This window comes from Homo sapiens, chromosome 8, assembly GCF_000001405.40.
Source record: "Homo sapiens chromosome 8, GRCh38.p14 Primary Assembly".
Taxonomy (NCBI): domain Eukaryota; kingdom Metazoa; phylum Chordata; class Mammalia; order Primates; family Hominidae; genus Homo; species Homo sapiens.
The window spans coordinates 27,284,853-27,311,278 of NC_000008.11; the positions used below are offsets into that span (position 1 = coordinate 27,284,853).

The 26,426-nt window shown below is 45.6% G+C and overlaps 2 protein-coding genes across 7 annotated transcripts in view, besides 3 other annotated features; one reads left to right on the forward strand and one right to left on the reverse strand.

Moving 5' to 3' along the window:
* Positions 1-33: 33 nt before the first annotated feature.
* On the reverse strand, positions 34-26,420 carry TRIM35 (tripartite motif containing 35). 4 transcript variants are annotated; one of them, NM_171982.5, is made up of 6 exons: positions 25,949-26,420; positions 13,612-13,707; positions 9,228-9,458; positions 5,304-5,326; positions 4,310-4,428; positions 34-3,275 (listed from the first exon to the last, which is right to left on the reverse strand). In NM_171982.5, exons 1-6 carry the CDS (start codon positions 26,381-26,383, stop codon positions 2,698-2,700), a joined length of 1,482 nt encoding a protein of 493 aa, NP_741983.2. In that variant the 5' UTR covers positions 26,384-26,420; the 3' UTR covers positions 34-2,697. The 4 variants fall into 4 exon arrangements, with proteins under 4 accessions (NP_741983.2, XP_047277558.1, NP_001349742.1 ...); XM_047421602.1 differs by lacking the exon at positions 25,949-26,420 and adding an exon at positions 19,909-19,991; NM_001362813.2 differs by lacking the exon at positions 5,304-5,326.
* Positions 25,389-25,498: an enhancer, noted in NCBI's record as "active region_27132". NCBI's record gives its function as "activates an Ori minimal core promoter by ATAC-STARR-seq in GM12878 lymphoblastoid cells {active_cell/tissue: GM12878}" and the evidence as "EXISTENCE:reporter gene assay evidence [ECO:0000049][PMID:35858748]".
* The window catches only part of PTK2B (protein tyrosine kinase 2 beta), a 148,886-nt gene continuing 148,113 nt past the window's right edge, over positions 25,654-26,426 (forward strand). For all 3 annotated transcript variants that reach the window (XM_047421544.1, XM_047421545.1, XM_047421552.1), the window contains exon 1: positions 25,654-25,814. The gene's annotated coding sequence lies outside the window, so the exon portion shown is untranslated. The remainder of the gene's footprint in view (positions 25,815-26,426) is intronic.
* Positions 25,899-26,118: an enhancer, noted in NCBI's record as "active region_27133". NCBI's record gives its function as "activates an Ori minimal core promoter by ATAC-STARR-seq in GM12878 lymphoblastoid cells {active_cell/tissue: GM12878}" and the evidence as "EXISTENCE:reporter gene assay evidence [ECO:0000049][PMID:35858748]".
* Positions 26,129-26,278: an enhancer, noted in NCBI's record as "active region_27134". NCBI's record gives its function as "activates an Ori minimal core promoter by ATAC-STARR-seq in GM12878 lymphoblastoid cells {active_cell/tissue: GM12878}" and the evidence as "EXISTENCE:reporter gene assay evidence [ECO:0000049][PMID:35858748]".

Genomic DNA, 26,426 nt, shown 5'->3' on the forward strand with positions numbered 1-26,426 from the left:
ACAAAAGAAAAAATAAATAAAAATTGGACATCATCAAAATTAAAAGCTTTAGTATTTCAAAGGACATCATCAAGGAAATGAAACAGCTCACGGAGAAAAATTTTATAATCATATACCAGTTAAAGGGACTTGTGCCAGGCTATAAAAGGACTCTTACAACTCAATAATAAAAAGACAAATAACCCAATTAAAAAATGAGCAAGTGATCTAAAGATAGCTGTCCTAAGAAGATATGCAAATGGCCAATAAGCTCATGAAAAGATGCTCAATATCATTCGCCATCAGGGAAATGCAAACCAAAATCACAATGAGATGCCACATTACCCCTACTAGGATGGCTAAGTTAAAAGATAGATAATAAAAAGCACTGAGGGATGTGGAGTCATCAGAACCCTCATGCCCTGTTGATGGGATATAAAATTGTGTCACCACATTGGAAAACAGTTTGGGAGTCCCTCAAGGGTTAAATAGAGTTTCATATGATCCAGCAAATCTGCTCCCAGGCATATACCAAAGAGAAATGAAAACATATGTCCACACAAAAACTCATACACAAAAGTTCCTAGCAGCATTATGTATAATAGTCAAGAAGTAGAAACGATCCAAATGTCCACCAATCGATGCATGATAAATAAAATGTAGTACTACCATTCCATACAATGGAATATTACCCGATGAAAAAATAAAGTTGAACACATGCTACAACATGGATGAACTTTGCTTATAAGAACATTGAAAAGAAAATGCCAAAAGAAAAATGAGTTTTAGCTCAAATTTTTTTTTAAGAGGCCTAGCCTGCTCAAGTTATCCTGTTAAAAAAAAAAAAAAAAAAAAAACTCTTCCCATATCTAAGGTGAAAATAAAAAACATTTTTAAAAGTTTAATATAAAGAATGAAATAATTTCAGGTCAAGTTTATTATACAGAAATTATATTAATGGGTGGGATAAATACTTTACAGGAGAGGGTCACACTCTCAGACACTTTGGCTCCCAAAGGGCTTGGAGCTTTTGTGAGGCTGAGCATCTTCCAACCAGGTGCATGCACTGGTTTGCCAACATCCTCACCACGCCCAATCCAGCCCCTTCACACACTGACATCGCCTACCTGGGCCCTCCTTGTGGCCTTAAGTTTTATCTAACCAGTGTACACAACATATTTATAACCAATTAATACGTGTGAGTCATGATTTGTTTAAAATGTCAGCTTTTGTGAACTGAAGGGGATGGGCAGAAGGCAGGATGCTGTCCTTGGTCAGGAATGTGACCCAGATTTTAACACTGCTCCTAGGAAAAAAAAATATTTCCTTTTATGATGCCACTTCCTGGGACATGATGAGCTGAAGATTAAAAACTCTTCAGAGATGTGCGAGAAAAAACAAGCCCAGGGAAAAGTCTGCAGGCATGGTGGAGGAAGAAATTAGGGATGAAATCGCAAGTGGCAGAGCAAGCATGACCAGGCTGAAGTCAGCAGAGACAAGAGGGCAGCGAGGCCCAGCCTCCTCTTCCCTCTCCCACAGCGTTTAGGGCCACGTCCATGGCGCCACCCCTCTCCTTTCTTCCCAACTGAAAAGGGTGCCCTCTTTCCTTCTTTTCTGCAGACGCTGATGAGAATTAACCAGAGGAACTTCCTCCACAGCAACTATAACAGGACATCCTCATCCAGTCCTCCTATCTCATTTCCTGGTGGGGAAACAGGCCTGGCAAGGAAATAGGCCGAAATCACGATTTAAAAAATGTTGTGTTTAAGTACTCTGGAACCCTGTGTTCAGAGGAAATCGTGCAAGAATAGATCAATCAGAGCTGATCTGATGGAGACGGAGGATCCAGCCACACAGAGGCCCTGCATTAACTGTATTTCCTGTACTCTTGATGCTCTGGTATCTGGGGCCTCGCTGACCTGGACAGACTGATCCTCCCAGGCTAGCCAATCCCCCAATCCCTAGAGATGGCAAGCATCTGGCTGAAAGCATGCCTTTCCTATGGAAACCAACTAATCCGGAGCGATGGCGCCAGCTGCCTCCTTCACATGGCTCTCCCAGGGCTGTCACACCCCAGGCCAACATTCACCTGTCCTGACTATCCCGGGGCCAGGTATCAGACAAAAAGGGCAGCCCCTATCCTGAGAGCCACTGAAATTACTCAAGCCAGCTACCCTTAAACCTGTCTCCCCTGCTTACTCTGCCTTGCCCATTTCCTCCTGAGGAAACCAGAGGAAGTCTCTTGCCCACACGTTCCCCTCCCTCCTTCCGCCTTCTGACCCACCGTGGGGCTTTCCTATGTGGCCCCTCCTCTCAGAACCGTAAGTAACAAACTCTCCTTTCCATGGCAGTCCCCTCCTCATCCAATGGCTTTACCACACCTCGATGAGATGGTTTACAACAGGCCCATTCTAGAAGTAAACATTATTCCCAGAAATCCTGGAATAGGGATTCAGAAAATTCACATTGTGGAGGTGCCACGACTCGGGAGAGCCTGGCCAGCGAGGTGCCACCCGAATAGCTCCTGACCATGGGCACAGAAGGGACCAAACATGGAGAGAGGCACAGCCTGGAGTCATGGAAAAGGACCAGGCAGGACAGGAGGAAGAGCCTGGCAAGGAGGCAGGGGCGCAATAGTGCCCAAGCAGTGTGGGCATTAGGAAGAGGGCAGAAAGAAAACAGTGCTGTGGCACAAGACCGGGGCAGCCCCGGGCCAGCTCAGCCATCCAGTTCTTCCTTGACACTGATGTGCAAGGGGCAGATGCGCAAAGGCTCTGGAGGCCCGGCGCCCCGTGCACCCCCCAGGTAGAAGTAGGGGCGAACCTCCCCAAAGCGGGCGTGGAAGGTGTACAGGTGGCAGTGGCGCTCCGCGTCATAGAAAGACAGCTCGCCCTCCTCACACTCCAGCTCCACACGCAGGCGGCGTGGGATGGCCAGGACCAGGGGCGACGTGGCTGGGTCCGAGGTCACGCAGTGGTCCCCCTCCACGCCCTGCGTGCGGCAGACATACCAGAAGCCCGAGCGTGTGTCGTGGTAGCAGCTGTGTGAGTGGCCCTCAGCGCCCGAGTCCTGGCGCACACGTACCACGCCCACCCTCCAGCTCTGCAGCCCCCCAAGGGCCACCTCCCAGGCGTGCGAGCCCTGTGAGAAGACACGGGAGCCCAGCAGGCAGGGCGCCGAGGAGAAGCGTTCCGGGTTCTCCACCTGCACGCGGTAGCCATGGTTGGTGACGCTGGTGAGGTCGTCAGACACGGAGAGCCAGCCAGCTGCGGTGTTGGGGTCAAAGCTGAAGGGTACTGCAAGCAGAGGCGGAAATGGGGAATCAGCAAACCTGAGGTCCCTTAGGCCACACGTGGATATCTCCAGCCCCACAAACCAACCACTGTGTCACACCTGGCCCCAAGTCCATGCAAGGAGTGGCCCAGGGCTGGAGTGGTGGCAGGGGTTGGGCTGTATCCCCCAGAAGATATGCGGCAGTCCCAACCCCTGGTACCTCCGAGTGTGACCTTATTTGGGAATGGGGTGGTTGTACACATATTAGTTAAGATGAAGACTGGAGGAGGGTCCCCAATCCAATATGACCTGTGTCCTTAAAATAAAGAGGAGACAGACACAGATACACAGGGGAGAATGCTGTGTGATGGCGGAGGTGAGGATCAAAGTGCTGAGGGGGAGCCAATAAGGCCAAGAATGGCCAGGAGACACCAGGAGACGGAAGAGGAAATGAAGACTCTCCTCTACAGGTTTCAGAGGGGGCCTGGTCCTTCCAACATCTGGATTTTGGATTTCTACCCTCCAGAACTGTGAGAGAGTCAACTTCTGTCATTTTCTAGTTTGTGGTCCTTCGTTATGGCAGCCACAGGAACTCATACAGGCAGAGACTCTTAACACTCACACGACCAAGGGATGTTAGGACAGCACGGCCCATTCCCTGAGTCAGTGATATTCCTCCCCGTAAAACCAGGACACTGTGGCTCATGTGGGCTGCAGTCGCCTTAGGAGAGGCAAGCCCAGATGCAGGAGGTCTTTTATCATACAAAACACAGTTCTGAATAGGCAAGAAAGCCAGTTTCCCTCTCTGAAGAAGGGACCAAGTGTCAGGACCCTGAGAGAAGGCATTCTACCAGGAGGGTTGGAGGTGTTGGGCAGAGTGGAAAAGACCAGGGTACAGGAACCTGCCTGCGAGGGACTGGCAGAGGGATCAGCTGAGAGAGGAGGGGAGCTCTGAGGAGGTGGGAGGTGGGCCCGGCAGAGACCAGCCCTGGTGCCTCTTTGCTAACATGAAGGGCTTCCACCCATGCTTGGGACACCTGCCGGCACCCCCGCTCACCAGATTCCACAGATGCAAGCATCTTCTTCCAGACGCGGTACTGCAGGGAGCCCAGGTACTTGCAGACATCGATAAGCATGCCGGGCTGGACTGGCTCTGGCTCCATGGTGCAGAAGAGTCTGGAAAAGTACAATGGGTATGGTGGGCAGGGCCAGAGCCATGCAACCTGGGCCGAACTGGGCCAACTGGAAACCAGCAACAGGACTTGTTCCCTTCCCTCAGGCCCAAGTTTCCTGGCCACCTTCTCCAAGACAAGACTGGACTGGGCTACGATGGGAGATGGGCCAAGGCCAACAGGGCTGCCATCTCCCTTCAGCATTCAATCCGAGGGCTCACCCTGCCCCAACTAGGAGAAATACAAACAGGAGGTTCTCCAACATGGCTGCCATCCTTGCAGGCAGAAATCACACTTACACATCCGGCTCATGGGATGTCTGAGTTGGAAGGGACCCTAAGGATGCTCTAGTCCAACAATCCCAAGGTGTCCTCCAGCCTTTGCTTGCACACTGCCAGTGGGAAGTGAGCACAGGGAACTCACTCCCTCCAAAAGCACTCTATTCCATCTTTGCACAGCTCTGACTGGGACACAGCTCTTCCTCATTCATCCCTGTGAACCCAACAACCATCAACACAAACCACCATGGCCTAAGGCTCTCAGAGGGAGGGGGCTGATCAAGAAACAAGCCTGACATTGACTGGCCCCGAGAAATGCAAGCCACATGCAGGATAGTGTTCTCCTTCCCTGCACGGCAGGTGGGGACCCTCCACACTCAGGAGAACAACACTGCCCCAGAGCCAACTTGAACTGGATGCTGTGAGAGGGCTCTCTCCACCTGGCCATTGTCCACCTCTCCCTCTAAAACCAGGGCCAGTAGCTCATGTGTGCTGGTGCACCCAGCTGGTTGTTACCTGCTTGCCCCGGGGCCACTGGAGTTTGCACCCCTGGTATTTCTGCCCACTCTTCCCCTCCCCTCCACCAGCTTTGGCAACTTACCGGCGTTTTCGGCTCTTGTGTTTCTGAAAAAATAAAAATAAAAAAATAACACAGAGACACAGATGTAGAGGAAATGTATATGTTTCTGACCTCAAAAGAAGTCATGCATTCCATGGATCATAAGTCTTAATATTGTCAAGATGTTAACAATAACATCCCTGCTATGATTTGAACATATTATCCAAAAGTTCATGTGTTGAACACTGAATCCCCAATGCGACAGTGTTGGGAGGAAAGGCCTAAAAAGAGGTGATTGGGTCATGAGGGCAGAGCCCTCACAAATGGATTAATACCGTTATTGTGAAGTGGTTTAGTTGTCATGAGACTGGGTTGCTATAAAGCAATGAGCAACTACTCTGTCTTGCACTCATTTCCTCCTTCTGCCATGAGATGACCCACACCAAATGCCAGAGCCATCATGCTCCTGGACTTCCTGGCCTCACCCAGAACACTGAGCTGAATAAACTTGTATTGTTTTATAATTTACCCAGTCTGTGATATTCTGTCATAGCAACAGAAAACATAAGAAGAGACTCCTTAAGTTGATCTACTGATTCAGTGCAATCCCTTATCCTAGCTGGCTTCTTTGCAGAAACTAAAAAACTGATCCTAAAATTCACACAAAATTTCAAGGAACCCAGAATAGCCAAAACCATCTTGAAAAAGAAGAACATTGGAAGACTCATAATCTCCAATTTCAAGACTTACTACAAATCAACAGTAATCAAGATAGTATGGTACTAATATAAAAACAGGCACTGAGATCAATGGAATAGAATTGAAAGTCCAGAAATAAACCCTCATATTTACCATCAATCAATTATTTACAATAGTGCCAAGATGATTTAATGGAGGAATAGTCTTTCCAACAAATGGTACTGGGAAAACTGTATGTTGACATGCAAAAAAAAAAAAAAAAAAAAAGTGAAGTTGGACTAACCCTTACTATACCATATACAAAAAAAAAACTCAAAATGCATCAAAGACCTACATGAAGAGCTAAAACCGATAAAAAACTTGTATCTAGACTATATAAAGAACTCTTACAACTCAACAATAAAAAGACAACCCACATTAAAAATGGGCAAAGGATGTGAATAGACATTTGTCCAAGGAAGATCTACTAATGATCAAAAAGCCCATGAAAAGATGTTCCAAGTCATTAGCCATCAGGGATGTGATGACATGCAATACACAAGGAGATACCACTTCACACCTACAAGGATGGTTATAATTTTTAAAAAACAAATTTTGGCAAAAATATGGAGAAACTGGAATCCACATACACTCCTGATGGGAATATAAAATGATACAGTTGCTCTGAATAATGGCCTAGCAGTTCTTCCAATAGTTAAACCTAGAGTTACCATTTGATCCAGCAAATCTACTCCCAGACATATTTCCAAGAAAAATGAAAACATGTCCACATAAAAATTGCTACCTGAATGTTTATAGTCATATTATTCATAATAGCCAAAATAGAAACAACCCAAATGACCACTGTCTTAGTTCATTTTGTGTTGCTGTAACAAAATACCACAGACTGGGTAATTTATAAACAATAGTTTATTTCACTCGTGGTTCTGAAGCTGGAAAGTCCAAGAGCATGGCACCAGCATCTGATGAGAGCCCTCATGCTGTGTCATCCCATGGCAGAAGGAAGAAGGGCAAGAGACTACACATAAGACCAAGAGCAAGAGAGCAAGAGGGGCCCAAACTCACTTTTATAACAAGCCCACTCTCTCAATAACTAACCCACTCTGCCAGTAACAACATTAACCCATTCATGAGGGCTCTCATGACCCAATCACTTCTTATTAGGCTCCACCACCCAACACTGTTGCATTGGGGATTAAGTTTGTAACACATAAATTTTGGGGAACATATTTAAACCACAGCAACCACCAATTGATAAATCAATCAATAAAATATAATATAGCCATGTGCAACGTAACGATGTTTCAGTCAACAAGGAACCACATATATGACTATGGTATGGTCCCATGAGATTATATCACTGTTTTTTACTGTACTTTTTCTATGTTTAGATATACAAATACTTAACAGTGGGCTCCAGTTGCCTACAGTATTCAGTGCAGCAACGTGCTGTACAGGTTTGTAGCCTAGGAGCAAAAGGCTATTCCATATAATCTAGGTGTGCAGTAGGCTACACCATGTAGGCTTCTGTAAGCACACTCCATGACACTTGCATAATGAAGAAACTGCCTAATAATACATTTCTCAGAACATATCCCCATCACTAAGAAGTGCATGATTATATATCTATGCCATGGAATATTATTCAGCCATAAAAAAGAATGAAGTACTGATAGATGCTACAACATGAATGATGTTTCAAAATATGCTGACTGAAAGAAGGCAGTCACAAAAGGTTACATGTTATATAATTCCATGCATTTGAAATGTCTACAACAGGTAAATCCATATAGATAGTATGTAGACTAGTGGTTGCCAGGGGCTGCTAATTCTAGTAATTACCACTCTGTTAGACTCAATTTCGGTAGCAGTTTTTATGTGGGAGGAGGAACTGGGGAGTGACAGCTAAAGCAGGGCTGCTTTTGGAGGCATGAAATGTTCTAAAATTGTCGTGATGGTTGCACAACTCTGTATATACTAAAAATCACTGAGTGGTACATTTTAAATGGGTGAATTGTTTAGCATGTAAATTATATCTCAATAAAGTTGTTAATAAAAAATAAAAAAGAGTCACAAACCAAAATCATCCCTGAAAGCACTCTGAGTACTGGGCAGACAATACTCCCAATTCCCTAAACAGAATCCTCGAGACACACAGCTTTTAGATCCCACAAAATGATTTTTCTTTTTCTTTTTTTTTTTTCTTCATTTTTCTTTTTAGAGACAGCTCTGAACACAGAATGATTTCATAATCAGGGACATTTTTGAGACAGGAGACTTCATGGTTCCAGGCTTTGAGTGAGGTGGAGAACTCCTAAAGGACCCACCCAGGAGATGACACTGCCTGAACAGATAACTGTCCCTGTCGCCTCCCACTCCACTCTACAGCGACACCCCTTCCACAGCAGTCAGCTGTTTTCCAGGTACAAGAGACACCTCACCACCCTGGCCAGTTTACAGACCAGCTTTCGAGCCCAGAAATTTCCCTGTAGGAAATTTGTAAGGACCACTGGCTCATGGGGAGGAAATAAATCAATAAAAGGAAAAAAAAATGAATAATACTGTTTTTTTAAAGAGAGAATGGAATCATCCTTTTCTTAAGAAGACAGAAAGCCAAGGCATTATATTTAAATAAAAAATTTAAATAATTGAATGATTTTAAAAGAATTCATCTTATTAAAAGGTAGAGACCGGAAAAAAAATGAGAGTAAGAGAGAGGGCAAGAGAAAGGAAGAAAGAAGAGACAGGAGCTGGGCACAGTGGTGCGCCAGTAGTCCAACTACCTGGGAGGCCAAGGTGGAAGCATCACTTGAGGCCAGGGATTCAAGACCAGCTTGGGCAACATAGTGAGACCCCCCTCACCCCTACCTGACTGGTAAAAAATGAAAAAAATTAGTTGGGCATGGTGGCTCGTGCCTGTAGTCCCAGCTACTCAGGAGGCTAAGGAGAGAGGATCACTTGAGCCCATGAGTTTGAGGTTACACTGAGCTATAATCACCCACTGTACTCCAGCCTGGGTGATACAGCAAGACCCTGTCTCTAAAAAAAAGAAGAGCGAGGAAGAAATAACAGGGTTTCAAGGAACTCCGCCCTGATAAGTCTTTTTAGTTTCATGACACAAGCAGAGCAGGTTACTTGTGAGCTCCTCCAGGCCAGTACCCAGGAAGCTCCAGGAAGATGACGTTGGCCAGGGCTGGTGGGCTATGGCTCCCAGCTGGTCCTGGAACATGTGGCCCTGTCACTGAATCCAGACGCTGAGCTCCTTACCATGAGAAAAGAAACGTCGTCCTCCTTCATCTCCATCTGCAGCCGCTCGATCTCATGTGCCAGCACCTCCGTCTCCTCTGTGAGCTGCTTCATCTTCTCGTCGGCCAGAAGTTGCTTCTGCCTTGTCTCCTCGGCCATGGCATCCAGAATGGCCTGCTCCTCCACTCTCAAGAACTCGCGAAGCTTATCAAACTCCTGCCGGATCCGGCCTTCCAGCCATGCAGCCTCCACCTACGGAAGACAGCAGGAGGAGTCAGGGGTCAGATGTGGAGAGGACATCCATAGCCCAGCAACTTTCCCATTTTTAGCAAAGGAAATTTATGTTCAAATAAATCATGTATAGAACCCCTACAGATAAAATATCAACATAATAGTTTATAAGCACAAATTTCTAAGTTCCGATTTCAAATGGGAAAGTCCAACAACCTAATATTAGATTGTTTTGACAGGGTTTTTAAAAATAAAATCACAGCTTATATAGATGGCAACTGTAGTACTATAACCTCATCTACATACAATGTTCAGTTCCTTCTTTAGGTTGCACCATAACAAGGGAAGTCCTGAATCATAGAAATGAATGGCTGCGAATAGCAATGATTTTTTTTTAAGTATTTACCTTCCAATCTTAGGACTTAAAATTTGTCTGATCCAGAGGCTTTACCAAAAGAGCAGTAGGAAGCATTCATTTTAAAACAATCATTAAAATAATATACACACTCCAAATCACAACCACAAAAAGTTTGTTTTTTTTTTTCTTTTTGAGACTAAGTCTCGCTCTTTCACCTAGGCTGGAGTGCAGTGGTGTGATCTTGGCTCACTGCAACCTCTGCCTCCTGGGTTCAAGCAATTTTCCCTGCCTCAGCCTCCCGAGTAGCTGGGACTACAGGCACACGCCACCACGCCCAGCTAATTTTTGTATTTTTTAGTAGAGATGGGGTTTTGCCACGTTGGTCAGGCTGGTCTCAAACTCCTGACTTAAGGTGATCTGCCCGCCTCGGCCTCCCAAAGTGCTGGGATTACAAGCGTGAGCCACTGTGCCCAGCCTCACAAAAAGTTTTTTAAAAGGGAAGATAAAACCATAAATGTAATGAAAGAAAAAGCAAATAAATATTTCTCAGCTTGGAATAAGAAAGACATTCCTCGGCACAGTATGAAACTGAGAAGCCTTGAAGAAAGAATGAGATAACTGAATACACAGAAAAATAAGAGGTGTGTATGGCAAGAGACTATCATAAAGTTAAAGACAAAAATACAATTCCATGACAACTGTTGGAAAAACCATTCAAAATGTGTGCTGTGGCAATGGCAGGTTAGTAAACTCATCTTTGGACTGAAAGTTAAATACAGATGCTCCTCAAGTTATGATGGGGTTACATCCCAATAAACCCATCATAAGTTGAAAAATAGTTAAGTCAAAGCAATGAATACACCTAACCTACTAAAAACATCATAGGTTAGCCTAGCCTACCTTAAACGTGCCCAGGACACTCACATTAGCCTACACTTGGGCAGAATCATCCAACACAAAGCCTATGTCATAATAAAGCACTGAGTGTCTCATGTAATTTATTGAATACTGTACTGAAGGGGAAAAACAGAATGGTTGTATGGGTACTCAAAGTACAGTTTCTACTGAATGCATATTGCTTTCGTACCACAGTAAAGTCAAAAAATCATAAGCCAGGGACTGTGTGTATGTTTACAGCTCTGAAAATATACGAAAAGGATTCACTGAAAAAATGAAAATGGCCAAAAAAATTGAGAATGATCCACTCAAAAAGAAATGACAAACTAGGAAATATATTTGCAACATTTATGACAAATGGCTATTATTATTAATGTACAAAGCACTCTTACAAATCCACTAAGAGAAAAGACAAATATTCCAAGGGAAAAAAAGAATGTGAATTAGCATTCACAGAAGAAGCATAAATGACTATTATGCTTGTGAAAAGATGTACAAACTTACCAATAATCAAAGAAATGCAAATGAGGACAAACAGCATGGTTAACCTATCAGGCTGAAAAGACTGATAATGTCTGCATTGGAGAGAGTAGAATCCAGGGTGATTCTCTTTTTTTTTTTTTTTTTTTACATTTAAGTTCCAGGATACATGTGCAGGACATGCAGGTTTGTTACATAGGTAAATGTGCGCCATGGTGGTCTGCTGCACCTGTCAACCCATCACCTAGGCATTAAGCCCCGCATGCATTAGCTATTTATCCTGATGCTCTCCCTCTCCCCAGTAATTCTTATCACACAAAAACATCAAGAACACAGCATGGCAGGAAAAACCAGCAAGTGCAAGGTCAACTCCTGCCCACTCACCGTGGGCAATGACGGCCTCACTGTAAAGGAACAAACACCAGAACTTTCACTTTCCTCATCGACCTGATAACTGAATTTAATAGAAAAAGTACTAATCAGGCTGGAATTCTAGGGGCTTCCCATGTGACCTCATTACCCTTAGCCTCAGCAAAAAGCTCAGGACTCCTACACTCCCTGGGATGGGCAGGCAGTGCCACCACACAGACAGACAGATACTCCCTAAGTATCCCCAACCCAGTCCTGTACAAGGCAAGCCAGTCATATGGCTTTAGCCACAGAAGGAAACCAAGTAAGAGAACAATGATAAAGCTACATGACTCCACGATGACTACTGGAAAAACAACTCAACAAACTCCAGCAACAGCAGGTTCGTAATCGCTATTTGGAGTTGGAATTTCAACATGTATTTATGGCTCTGACATCGGATGACAAAATAATCTACTGAACAAAGTGAAAACTCTCTCCCACCAGTTTGTTGGTCTATTAGACATCAGAAATGTTAAGGACTTGTCTCTGTTGGGCACTTGTATGCATTATCTTATCTAAATTTTTTTTTAAAAACCCTAGTAAAAGGGAATTGCCCTCTTTTTACAGAGGAGGGGATTAGCTTGGAGGGGGTTGAGGGATTTGCTGGGGAACTGGGCTTAGATTTGGAAATAGGTCTGCTTTGCGGTTACTGCCCTGGCACCCAGTGTGTCACATAATCCTTTCTTCCACACTGTTCCACCAGCTCTGTGGCTCAGGGTAAACTCCACAGCCAAATGTTAATGAGGCTCTTTCCTGGGACTAATCCTCACCTATGGACACATGGTGGAGGGGACCGCAGGCTCCTGAGGACAGCGCCCAGCAACCTGGACCAGGCATGGCTCAGCTGTGGCTAAGATGAGTCTAACAGAGTGGTAATTACTAGAAGCAACCACTTCAGAAAGCCAAAGACCAGAGCCAAGATCAACAGTCAGAAACAAGGTTGCCAATCCACACAGGACCTGGAGGAAGAGAGGGTGCCAGGCAGAACAACCAGAATGGGGACAGAGGGAGCCCACTCATTCATTTGATTAACAGTTATTGGTCACCTACCCACTTCACTCATTCAATCAACAATTTTTATTGGTCACCTATTGTGTGCCAAGAACTCCTCTAGATAACTGGCAATAGTGTGCCCTGTTTTCATTATATTTTGACAGGAAGGGATAAAAAGCAAATAGAAAACAAAAGGTAATTACAGGTAATGAAGTGTCATTAAGAAAATAAACCAGGAAATTATGCCATCGAGTAAAAGAGGAGGATGATCAGGAAAAGCTTCTTTAAGAGAACATCTGAGCTGAGATTTTAATGGCAAAGATGCTGGGCATGTGTTCTGGGGAGAAGACTTAGTTTGCTTAAGGGACAGAAAGAAGGTGAGGCAGAGAAGTAAATGAGGTTGAGGATAGGCAGGGTCAGGAGATGGCCTTGGAGGCCATGGTAAGGAATCTGGGTGGTACTGAGGGTGACTGGAAGCCACTGGCAGTTTTAAGCAGAGGAGGGGCACGGCTGGTGTTTTTTTCTAAACGATCACCCCAGTCCATGGAAAGGAGAATGCACAAGAATGAAAGCATGAGGCCCTAGGCAGGAGGCCCAGTGAGAGATGATGATGACCTGGACCAAAAGGTGGAGGGTTTTACAGAAATAACATACTTTGGAGATAGGGGAATAGGATTGCTGATGGAGTGGATGTGGGAACTGAAAGAAAACAAGAAAGTACATGAGTCCCAGGTCATCATTGAACACACAGGTGGCAGTGATATGATGCATGTGCCATAGTGCAGATGGTGTTGGTAGCTTTTTAAGTCACTCCTGTGGCTGCTGGCATGACCACGCCTGGGTCTTTAGAGGGGCCAAGGCAGAGAAGCCACAGTCAGCATCCAGGACGTGGCTGCACAGGACCATCAGAGGTAAGGCAGCCGACCTCTACCCAGCGGGTTATGTGAGCCAAAGCCACGGCTGACACATCTTCACTCCTCCCCAGACTGCCCTGAGTGGACCCAATCTTCCCACTTGGCCCCATCGTTCGCTCACCTGATTGTGCTTGGCGATGGCCTCATAGGAGCGCCGCATGGCCCAGAAGGCCTTGGCCTTCTCCCGCAGTGCATGCTCCATGTTCCTGCACTTGGCCTGACATGGGAATGAGAGAGAGGGAGGAAGACAGGTTAGGGCTGGAGGCTGGGCAGAGAGGGCAGACACATCACATTTACAACTGGGACTCCACTTCAACACAAGTGTAACTCAACTGCATTTGCCTAACCCCATCCATGCCAAGTGCTCTGGGCACAAATGGTAAGTAAGGTCCTGATCCTGAATCAGACATCCATGGGATAAAGAGCCCTCAGACATCCTGTAGCCCAGCCTGGTACAGACTGGGAGATGGGGCTGAGAAGAAGCAAGCTGCTCTCTCTCATGTTGGTCACAGCACAGGCCAGAAGAGTGTCCCATGTGGGCCAAAAGCTGGTTCATGCTGGGTCTGAATCCCTGAGCTGTGTGGACAACTGCAGACAGTGTGGTCATAGGTTCCCTCTGCAGTTTCCTAAACTGAATGGGTCTGCAATCTCTAATGTGAGGTGACTGACAATGGGGGTGGAGCCAGTCATTTCCCACGGGGTTCAGTTACCTCCCATGAGGCCTCACCTCAACATGCCCAACATGCCCCTCCATACCCCTCCTGCATCCTGACATTCTAACACTGCTTGTATCGCACGGAATACTTTAATCAGCAGGCACAAATACTTTTGGTTTAGTAGTTTTTGTTTCTTAAACTTTAATGATTGTTTCTGATGTCCTTGGACAACTTGAAGAACCACTAGAGTGTTTTAGGTTGGATTCCTGCCTCTTGTATCTTAGGCCTATCATTTTTTCTCCCTCATTATCCTTTTCGATCTACATTCTCAGAAAGCTTCTCAAGTTTTTTCTTAAGAAAAATAATTCAAATAATTATAAATGGTTATCATTTATTCAGTACTTACTCTGTGCCAGGGACAACACCAATTACTTGAGAAATTATGTCATTTAATCATTACTTCTCCCTAGTAGATAAGTAATATTATTGGCCCCATTTATAGATGAGAAAGTGAGGCACAGAAGGGAAATGACCAGCCCAAGGGCACACAGCTAGTATGTGGAAGGACGTGAACCTGGACAGCTATGGAGGCAGCTGCTGAGACAGCACCCAGTGATCCCTCCCTCCTGTGAGATGAGAGTGTTTTAAGCTGCTAAATGTCGGGGTGACTGGATATGCAGCAATAAATTATACAGATGTGTCGCCCAAAGCCTCATTCCCATCTGGACCTGATTTAGATGACAAATCTGGACTTTGGGCTGATGCTGTAAAGGGATGAGATGTTTGGAGAGCTTGGGAGAGGGCCAGTGCATTTTGCATGTGGGAGGGACATGACTCCTTATGGGGCAAAGGACAGATTCAGGCAGGCAGCCTCTAAAGTGGCCCCAGTGACCCTCACCTCCTGATACTCATGCTCTTGTGAAATCCCCTCCTCTGTGGGTGACTTGTTTCTAACCAAAAGAATGTGGCAAGTGATACTAAGTCACCTCTGAGGTTAGGCGACAAAGGCTGTGTACACCCTGCCTTCCTCTCTCTAGCTTGCTCACTGGGATGGTAGCCAGCTGCCCATGTGGTAATTTGCCCTGGGAGTGACTGCTGGGGCAAGAAACTGAGAGTGGCTTCTGACCTACAGCCAGTGAGGGACTCAGGCTCTCAGGCTAACAGCCCGTGAAGACCTGAATCCTGCCAACAACTACAAATGTGAGTGTAAATAAGGATCCTGCCCTAGCTGAGCCTTCAGATGAGACCACAGCTCCATACCTACAGCCCCTCATGACAGACCTTGAGGCAGAGGCACCCAGAGCTAAGGCAGGCCCAATTCCTGACCCACAGAAACTCAAAGATAATAAATGTTTGTTTTAAGGCACTAAGTTTTGGGCAATTTGCTAGGAAATAGAGAACTAGCCCATTGGTTAGAACTAGCCCACAGAACCCTGACTGCAGCCCCTCATGAGACACCTTGAGGCAGAGGCACCCAGAGCTAAGGCAGGCCCAATTCCTGACCCAAAGAAACTCAAAGATAATTAATGTTTGTTTTAAGGCACTAAGTTTTGGGGCAATTTGCTAGGAAATAGAGAACTAGCCCATTTGTCCCACTCAGTAGCCCATTCCTTTAAGTCTTTCACTACAGAAAACAAAATGGTTACTGATTTCATTTTCTGCAGTTCTGTTTTATTTTCAACTCATTTTGATCTTTTAATCTTAAGTGACAATATTTAAGATTTTTAAACTTTGTTTTCTGTAGTATATCATCTCTAATTTGCATGAGTGCCCCCACAAAACCACTGAAATGTCATTCCAATGTTTTATTTTATAGAATGAGATTTTTGATACAAAATCATGTAATACAGTTCAAAAGGAAAATTTAGTGATTTGCCAAATTAGTTAAGTGACAGGAGTGAAGCAGCTGTCCATACGCATTACCCAAAGGTGTGCAGGCCCCAAAACAACACAGTTCAGCCCCTGCCCTTCAACCCTGGCCCTTAGGAATTTATGGGACAATAAGGATGGGAAGGGGATAGTCCCTTGATCTTCTCAAACTTTTCAATCACTTGGAGAGTTCTGGTTTCCTTCAGAAAAGACCAATCCTAAAATGGCCCTTCTCTGAGATGTCAGCTGATGAGACTAACCAACAATTATATTACTATTGCTAGCAAGCAGTTACTATTAAGCATGTACTAGACACAAGGCACTAAATTATGCACTTTACAAACATTCTATTTAATTCAATTATTTAATTCGAATTCTCCCTATAAGGTTAAGCACTGTGAGTCCCATTATACAGAGGATCAAGTTAGACCCAGAGGAGGTAACCTTCTTGTACATGTCTCCTGGGGACACATGGGAACTCGTTTCTTCATAATATATTCCTGGGGATAAAACTGCTGGGCCACCATATGTGTCTTCACTTTACTGCGTAATGCCAAATTGTTTTCCAAAGCAGTGGTACCAATTTTTACAGCAAGAGCAATGTTAATAGAAAATGTTTATTGACCACTTCAATGTTTATTTTTAAGTACTCAGTAAAGTATTGTCCATTTTTCCATTGCGTTGCCTGCCATTTTCCTAACTGGTTTGTGGGAATTTATTATATATACACAATGTATGTCCTTGATTAGTTAGAGGTGTAATGAATATTTTCTACTTCATCATTTATCTTTCTTAATTGAAATATGGCCAAATTTATTAGTCTTTTCCTTTAGGATTAGTATACTAGTTTTAAGAAACACCTCCCTACACTGAGATCACAAAAACAATCGTATTATTTCCTCAAAGCTTTATAGCTTTGCATTATTATTGTATAGCTCTGTAGTATTTTCTCAAAGCTTTATAGCTTTCCTTTCACATTTAGGTCTGATGTGGATACCTGGAGTTTATTTTTGCACATGGTGTGACCAGGTAGCTCATTGTCTCAGCACCATTATTTAAAAAGACCATTACTGCCCACTGGTCTGCAGAGCCACCTCTGTCTTAAATCAGACACAGATCTGTTTTTTGGTTCTCTCCATCTGTTTCTCTGGCCCATCTGTTTATCCTTGTGCCAACATCACACAGCCATAATTTCTATAGCTGTAAAAAAGAGAGGATTTCTGATAGGTTTCTCTTCAAGAATGTCTTGGCAATTTTTGGCCCTTTGAGGGTCATATAAATTTTAGAATCTGTGAAGTTGCATAAAAATAATCATGTTGAGATTTAGATTAGTACAATATTGTCTCTATAGATCAATTTGGGGAAAACTGAAAGGCTTAAATACTGACTTTACTAATCCACGAACATAATATATCACACCAGTTACTTAATGTTCTTTGATAGCTCTCAACGAAGTATATTTTTCCCTATCAGAGTTTTGCGTATCTTTTATTAATTTCTTCCTAGTTATCTTATTTTTTATATTATTGTAAACATATTTTTAAATTAAAAAAACCCAAAACAGGGTCCCCCTCTGTCACCCAGGCTGCAGTGCAGTAGTAGCACAATCATAGCTCACTGCAGCCTCCTGTGCTCAAGTGATCCTCCCACCACCTCAGCCTCCCAAGTAGCTGGGACTACAAGCATGCACCACCACACCTGGCTAATTTGTTTTAACTTTTTGTAGAGACAGGCTGGACTATGTTGTGCAAGCTGGTCTGAAACTCCTTGGCTCAAACGATCCTCCTGCCTCAGCCTCCCAAAGTGCTGGGATTACAGGTGTAAAACTCCCTGCCTATATTTTATTTTCTATTTGCTAGTGATACATAGAAATACAACTGGTTTTGCATCTTGATTTTGGATTCAGCATTCACCTAAACTTATTAATACTTATGATTTAACTGTAGAATCTTTATTTTCTACACATAGAAATCTCAGTGCAAAAATATGCAACCATATTATCTACACATGCCAGTTTTGCTTCCCTTCTTTCCAAACCTTACATCTTTTATTTATAATTATTGGCTTACTTCATTGACAAGGCTATCCCACACAAAACTGAATAGAGTTGGTCATAATGCGCATTCCTGTCTTTTTCTTGATCTCAATAAGAAAGCTTTCAATGTTTTGCCATTAAATGTGATATTTGCTGTAAGTTTTTTTGCTAGATATACTTAATCAAACTAATGAAATTCCTTCCATTTCTAGTTTCCTGTTTTTTTAAACACAAAAAGATGGTAAATTTTATCAAATGTTTTCTCACTGAGATAATTATATTAAGCAACACAGAATTAGGTTTCGTTTTCTTATCCAGTCAGATCAACATTTTCATTTAACTGGAGTATTTAACACATAATTACCGATATGTTTGCATTTAAATCTGCCACCTTGTTCTGAGCTATTTGTCTTGCTTATTCTATTTTTCTTTTTCTTCCTTTCCTTTTTTAAAATTTACTACACATTTTTTATTCCATTTTCCCCTTCTGTGCATCTAGTGGTTCACCTAGGAAATATGACATGTAAGAAGTGTGAATTTGAATGCATCTAAACAATATTATTTTGTTTGCTTTTGGTATTAATTTTAACCCTAAATATGCTTAGATTACAAATAGAACTACCACTCAAGGGGCCTGCCTGTAGCCCAAGGAGCACATGAATGAGCAGAGATGGGCAGTAGCAGGGGCCCACAACAGATCTGGAGCATCCCCCAGCCCAAGCTCAGGAGAGCAAACAAGCTTCGATGTTAGCATCACATTATAACATTAAGATTTTTTATTTATTTATTTTATATTTTTTACTTTTTTGAGATAGAGTCTCATTCTTCTTGTCCAGGCTAGAGTGCAGTGGCGCAATCTCGGCTCACTGCAACCTCTGTCTCCCAGATTCAAGCAATTCTCTTGCCTCAGCCTCCCAAGTAGCTAGGATTACAAGTGCCTGCCGCCATGCCCAACTAATTTTTGTATTTTTAGTAGAGACAGGGTTTCACCATGTTGGCCAGGCTGGTCTTGAACTCCTGATCTCAGGTGATCCGCCCGCCTCGGCATCCCAAAATGCTGGGATTACAGGCATGAGCCACCGCGTCCAGCCTACGTTAAAGATTAGTTATAAACACACACAAAATAGGTTTTTATTCATACTAAAGGATCCAGAATGTGATCATATAGACTACATGATTTCCCAAAAATGACAAGTTGATTCCTTAAGCAACAAATTTCAATTGCATATTGAAGATCTTAAGCACTTTACAAAATCACGTTACCCACAATTTTCATTAACAGGACAGGTGCTCTGTGGTATAGCTGGAAGCAGGAAGGTAGGGGCAAGGGAAAGAATGAATTTCATTGCACAAGGTCTTCATAGCCTCTTTGCAAGGACTTACCAAAGTGCTAGAGTTGCATGTGAAACCAGCTCTGTCTGGCCTGAGCCAGGTTTTCTGTCTTGTGAGACTTGATACACACTGTTGCTCTGCCTGGTTCCCACCTGCTTCCCCCAACTAACCCAACATCACCTTGAAAACTCGGCTCTAGTACCCCTCATTTCCTCCAGGAAGCCCCCCGATCTTGCCAGCTCAGGTTCCATTCCAGGGCATCACAGCACCCTGGCCACCTCTGTCTCAGCACTCACTATCCAGGGTAATAGCTTCTCTTTCCTGAGGGCAGGTCTTAACCTCCAGGTCCTCTCTACCTTGCATAGTGGTGCTCGGTACACTTCTGCAGAAGGAATGCTTGCTCTGCAAGGTGAGAGACTTTGTTTTGTCCCCTGCATGTCCAAGTCCCTGCACAAAGTAGATGTTCAGTTAACCACCTGCCCAGTCAATGAGTACATGGAATGCCTGTGTTTTTTCTGCTATATACCTTGCCTCCTGGACTGAAGGTTAGGAGAGCTGGTTTGGAGCCTTGTCTTTGTCACTATCCACTGGTGAGTTGGTAAAAAGTTCCTTCTCTCTTCGGCTATCAGGCTCCTCACCTTAAAAATGAAAGCAGAGAAGTCTCTACAGTCTCCCAAATTTCACGATTTGTTTTCAGGCAGATTGATGTAGCAGCCAAGAGTTCTGGCACCTGGCCGACCAGGTTCAAATCCCAGCACCTCTACCTAGTAGCAGGTGATCTTGAACATGTTCCTTCACTTCTCTGCACCTCCATTTCCTCATCTGGATAAGAGGGATAAAAAATACTACCAAGCTCAAAGGACTGCTGTGAGGACTCCACAAATCAATCCCTATAAGATGCTTACATGAGAGTGGCAGGCACATGCTGTGCATTCGGCATAGCTCTTAAGTGCCACCTACATGCCAGGTAACCTAACTGTCCTGCTGGATATGGTCCAGGTTTCTTAAATGAACAGTAAAAATGCATGGAGCTTTCTTATGCAACTCCAAATCAGTCTCCCAGATCTGTCTTTCCCCTTTGTGTTCAGACCTCCTTCCAAAGCAAGTGTCTGCCATGCAGCCCACTGCTGGAGGCCATCACTCAGGAGCCTCAGTGTGCAGGGTCTAGTGAGACACCCCCCACTCCCAATACCACTGGGCACAGGCCTGGACAAGCAAGCAAGCAACAATGTCCTCTGGTGCAACCAAAGAGCTGGTAAGTCCTCACCTAGAAGCTGGGGATCAGGATGGGGGTGAGTGGTTAGGAAATGGGGAAAAGCATTGGAAGGGGGAAGACCTGGAATGTGGCTTAAGAGGTATCGAGAGTACCCTTGGGTTAGATCCAGCCAGATGGACTCTAAGATGTTGACGCCAGAAGGGGAGAGAGGGCTGGAGCTGGGACAGGGAGAGGCTGGTGGCAAAGAATGGTCATCATGCCAGTCCTGCAAGATGGATAAGACAAGGGTCTGCACAAGGCAGCTCAGCACAGGGCTGCTGTAGAAGATGCAAGCTGGAGAGTGCTGGACTGGGAGGCAGGAAACCTGAGTTCTGATCCTAGAACTTTATTTATTTATTTATGTAAGATACAGGGTCTCACACTGTTGCCCAGGCTGGATGCAGTGGCCCAGTCATAGCTCACTGCACCCTCGAATGCCTGGCCTCAAGCAATCCTCCCATCTCAGCCCCTCGAGTAGCTGGGACTACAGGTATGTGCCACCACACCCGGCTAATTTTTTTCTTCTTTGGTGCAGGATCTTGAACTACTGGCCTCAAGCAATCCTCCTGCCTCAGCCTCCCCAAGCACTGGGATTACAGGCATGAAACACACTGGCCTTGATCCACTTCTCATTACTTAGATGTAACCACCTCCTCACAAGATGTAACCATTCCATCACAATAGAATGACGCACGGTCTGTGTCTGAGGATGTTTTCATTTAATGGCAACCTAAACCAAACCTAAGACAATCCTACTCCAAGCCACGACATAAACAGCGCTGACACATGCTTTCAGTTCACAACTTCATCATCAGCATTCGTATTTTCTTTTTTTCTTTCTTTTTTTTTTTTTTGAGACAGTGTCTTGCTCTGTCGTACAGGCTGGAGGGCAGTGGCACGATCTCGGCTCACTGCAACCTCCATCTCCCGGGTTTAAGCGATTCTCCTGCCTCAGCCTCCCAAGTAGCTGGGACTACAGGTACCTGCCACCATGCCTGGTTAATTTTTGCATTTTTAGTAGAGATGGGGTTTCACCATACTGGCCAGGCTGGTCTCGAACTCCTGACCTCGTGATCTGCCTGCCTCGGCCTCCCAAAGTGCTGGGATTACAGGCATGAGCCACCACACCCGGCCACCATTCATATTTTCTTAACAGCTTACTTGATATCAAGACATGACTTTCATCGTCTTGTCCTGATAAGGAAAGAAGAGAAATACACATAGCAGGTAAAGAATGTGCCGGACCCAAATGAAGGCCAATCCCGTAACAAGAAAGCTCCAGAGCTCTTCAGAGAAATTTGGGCGGATTAAGTAGTCACTTGGAACAGAGTAATGGGAGAATCAGAAGTATCTTGGCCAGGAGTAGAGATTTTGTTCCAGCAAAATAAAACTTTAGAATTAATATTTTAAGTGGAATGTTATTGATTATAGTTTTGTATTCAGTCTGTTCACTTCCTTTTGTTTTATTGCTTATATGTAGCATGAGCAAGTGCTATTTATACCAGGTTTGCATTTGTATGCATGTAAATAATAACATAATTTAACTCTCACTGGCTAGACTATTTTTTCCTTTAAGAAGAATGCATACTTGTTCAAGTTTGAGAAACGCCAGACTAGGATTTCTGAAGGTCCTTCCAAGCACTGTTCCTTGCTACAGCTCTGCTGTAAACATGATGCCAGGCTCCCAAATCTCATCAGTCCTTCCATCATGCGCCACTGCACCTACGATAAAAATCCCAGCTCCTAAGCAGGGCCCTCTGTGTCCTGTGGGATCTGTCCTGCAGTTCCTCATCCCCACGTGAACCATCTCTCAGTCACTGCACACCCCCACGCTGTGCCCCGCCGCCACACCCCCGCCACACACACACACTGCTCGCCGCCCCTCAATCAGCTCCTCTCAGCGAAATCACTTCCTTGGAGACTCCTTCCCACACCCCACCAAACAAGAGCAGCCTCCCCCTTACAATCTCCCACCACATCCTGTACTGTCCTTCACAGGAATGTTGAGCTGAAACTATGTAATTATTAGTGAGATGATACAACCATGCCCACAAAGGCAAGGTCTAGGACTGTCCGGTCCTGTCCTGGACACAGTACTGGCACACAACCAGTACCTTCTGCCAGCCCTGACAATGGTCAACAGCCACTCCAACCCCTAACACACAGTCAGCTGCCCGCTGAAGTCTGAGATGAGAGAAACCTCTCTCAAAGTCCAGGACCAGTGTGTGAACTGAACAAGGCTCCAGGTGATCTTTAGAGCTACTTGCTCTGTGACTTTGGACAAGTTTCTTACCCTCTCTATGATTCTATAATTGTCTATAAAATGGGGATAATAGCACCTAACTGTAGCAAGCTGAATAATTATTTCCCCGAAAAGATGTCCCCATTCTAATCCCCAGAATCTTGTATGGCAAAAGGGACTGTGCAGATGATTAAATTAAGGATCTTGCTGTGGGGAGGTTATCCTGGATTACCTGGGTGGGCCCAATGTCATCACAGGGTCCTTATGAGAGGGAGGTAGTAGAACTGGTCAAAGAAGTCAAAGTGACAACAGATGCAGAACGGAATGACACACTTCAGAGCTGGAAGAAGGGGCCTCTGCAAGCTGGAGAAGGCAAGGAAATAAATTCTCCCTGGAGCCTCCAAAAGGAATGTAGCCCTGCAGACACCTCGATTTTAGGACTTCCAACCTCCAGAACCATAAGAGAACAAACTTGTGCTATTTTAAACCACCACATTTATTACGCAGTAACAGGAAACACAGGACCTGAAAATACGTTTTTGTGAGCATTAAATTTGTTGACGTGTGAACACTGAAAAGCATCTAGCACACAGTGAGCACTGAAATGTGTTAGCTGGGATGATTTTGACTTTGCTGTTCCTCACATAGATAGTTGGCAAAGTAATCTTTCTCTAAAACACACATCCCATCACAAACTCCCCTGTTTAGAATCTTTCAGAGCTCCCCACAGCACAAAACGGAAAACCCCCTCAGTGAGGCACACAGCTTCTTACCCAGTCCCTTCTTACCAAGTGGTGGAGGGAATCTTCCCATACCGCTCCCCCACAACCACCTACCTTGAATCACACAGAACTACATCTTGTCTATTGACTGTCTATGCCCCCTGCTCAAATGAGAATTCCATGAAGCTAAGAAGAGGCCACAGCACACAACAGCCATCAGTACCCATTTGTCTAGTAAATGAGTGATTTGCACCCTGCATCAGGCTGACCACACCTGGCTCTCATTCTTCTCAGATCCATTTGGGACTAGACTACTCAGCCCCTGACATCATCCTGAGTGTCCACTGACTTGACACCATCATTCTTCTGCTAAAACCCCCAGCTGCTGTTCACAGCAAGGGTGAGCCACCGGCCTCCTGGATCCTCCTGCACGTCCCTCCTCATTCTAACTACCCTTAAATTCCCTCAGTGCCTAGAAAGTCAGGCTTTCCCACTTCTGGACCCTTCCAAATGCTGCTGCCTCTATCTGAAATACCCTCTTTCACCTGGCTAACACCTCCTCTTCCCTCGGGTCTCTGCTGGAAGCTCCTTGAGGCTGGAAATGGTCTATCTTGTCTCCTGCAGTATCCCTGGGACCTTGCAGTACCAGGCATCTGCTGGTGCATGGCTCTCTGCTCTTGAATCCTGGCTTGGCCCCAGCCTGGGGGCTCTGCCTGGGTGTTCTCAGCCCTGACCCCAGCATCTCCTGATCAGCACCTCGGCCAGCCAAATAGGCATCAGTCATGACCTGAACCATGATCCCTCCTTTACCTGGGCCCCAGACCCCTGGCTGGCCAGCACTTATTCCAGCTGTCCCAAATCAGGATCTGTCACTTCTGCCAGTGGAAACAGGAAAAGCATTGACATGGACCCATGTTAAACAAAAAAGATGACAGGAGTAACAGGGTTACTCATTGAGACATGCGTACTGACAGCATCCTTACATTCCCCTTCAATTAAACTTTGTCAAATGCATTTGGAGCGGAACAGACTTCCGTATTTAAAAAGGTATTGCAAAAAAAGAAGGCAGGGCCACAGAGGGGGCCAGAAACCAGGCACAGGGGACTCGGGCAGCTCCTCCTCTCCAGTCCATGCAGCTTCGGGCCAGCTACCCAGTGTTCTCCCAATTGGGGCTCTGACTCATGCATTAGCAGGTGATGAAATAAATTCAATGTTTCACATTCTGGGTAATTTTTAAAAGTAACAGAGGCCAGGCGGAGTGGCTCACGCCTGTAATCCCAGTAGTTTGGGAGGCAGAGGAGGGCAGATCACTTGAGGCCAGGAGTTCCAGACCAGCCTGGCCAACATGGTGAAACCCTGCCTCTACTAGAAATTAAAAAAAAAAAAAAATTAGCCAGGCGTGTTGGTACATGCCTGTAATCTCAGCTACTCGGGAGGCTGAGGCACCAGAATCGCTTGAACCCAGGAGGCGGAGGTTGCAGTGAGCTAAGAGCACGCCACTGCACTCTAACCTGGGCGATAGAGGTCTCAAAAAAAAAAAAAAACAAAGGGAAGTAACAGAAAATATCAGAGTGCCATGGACATGTTCAGAAAACTTTTGTTTCAACTGATACATATGTTCTGGGTCACAAGGGAAAATGCATTGCTTCCTATGGGCTAAGATTAAACGTTTTGGAAAATGCTGAGTTAGGCTAACCCTTATCTTCTATTCATTTTTCCTTCCTATATCAAAGAATTCTCCATGTTAGTTTTGCCCTGTAAGTTGCTCCTGGGTTTATGTATAGTCACTAGAACTCTAGATATGGAGATGCTGCTTTATAAACCAGAATAGGCCAGCCAGCCAGGGTCAGAGACCTCTCACTCAGATAATACAAACCGCGGGATCAGCTTGGCAAGTAGGTGACTGGTTTGGGGGAAATCTTAAGACTCCACACCCCTGGCCAGGTCTGTGGCTCCTCCTCCACTTCTAAATTGAGTGTGCCAAGCTACAGGGCTCGTGGGCTGCACCCACATCCGTGCCGCTTAAAGGGACCTGGGCCACACCCGGCTGGCACAAGGGGTGCATGGCCTGGGCCCTTCAGAAGCAAGTGTCGCTGTCTTGGGAACATCATGTAACCTCATCTGTCACTTTCCGTTCGCATTCTCTTCTCCCAGCACGGGCCCCTGGGCCGACCTTGAAGAAGCAGCCAGCCCTGAGAACCTGGGTCGGAGAGGTGGGGTCCTGCATGCTGGGAGCGAGACGCGGGCACACTGGGCTCTGGCAGGCAGGAGGGGCGGGAGCCGCAGAGCCAAGGGATTCCGGGTTCCAGACCCGGCTCGGCCGCCTCGTGCAAATCGCTGCTCTTACCCGAAAGTCGTGGGCAGTGTCCTTCACCGGCTGCACGCGGTGCCCCTGGTGTCGGGGGTCGGCCTGGCAGGAGCAGCACAGCAGCTCCTTGTCCTCGAGGCAGAAGAGGCTGAGCTGTCCGCGGTGCAGGCGGCAGACACGCGAGAAGCGGTAGCTGGTCCAGCGCGCGCCCTCGGCCTCCTCGCGCAGCAGCTTCTCCACCAGGTTGTTGAGGGTGTGGTTGGTGCGCAGGTCGGCGGGTGACGCGCGGTCTTTGCACACTGGGCAGGTGGGCGACACCTGCACCTCCCAGCAGCGGCTCACGCACCCGCGGCAGAAGTTGTGGCCGCAGCGCAGAGTGACTGCGTCGCGGAAGGGGTCGTAGCAGACGGCGCAGAGCAACTCCTCCTTGAAGGAGCGGGAAGGCCCGGGGGACACGTCGGGACTCCGCTCCATGGCACGAGCAGCCGGCTCGGGCGCCCGGAACTTTTGCTCCGGC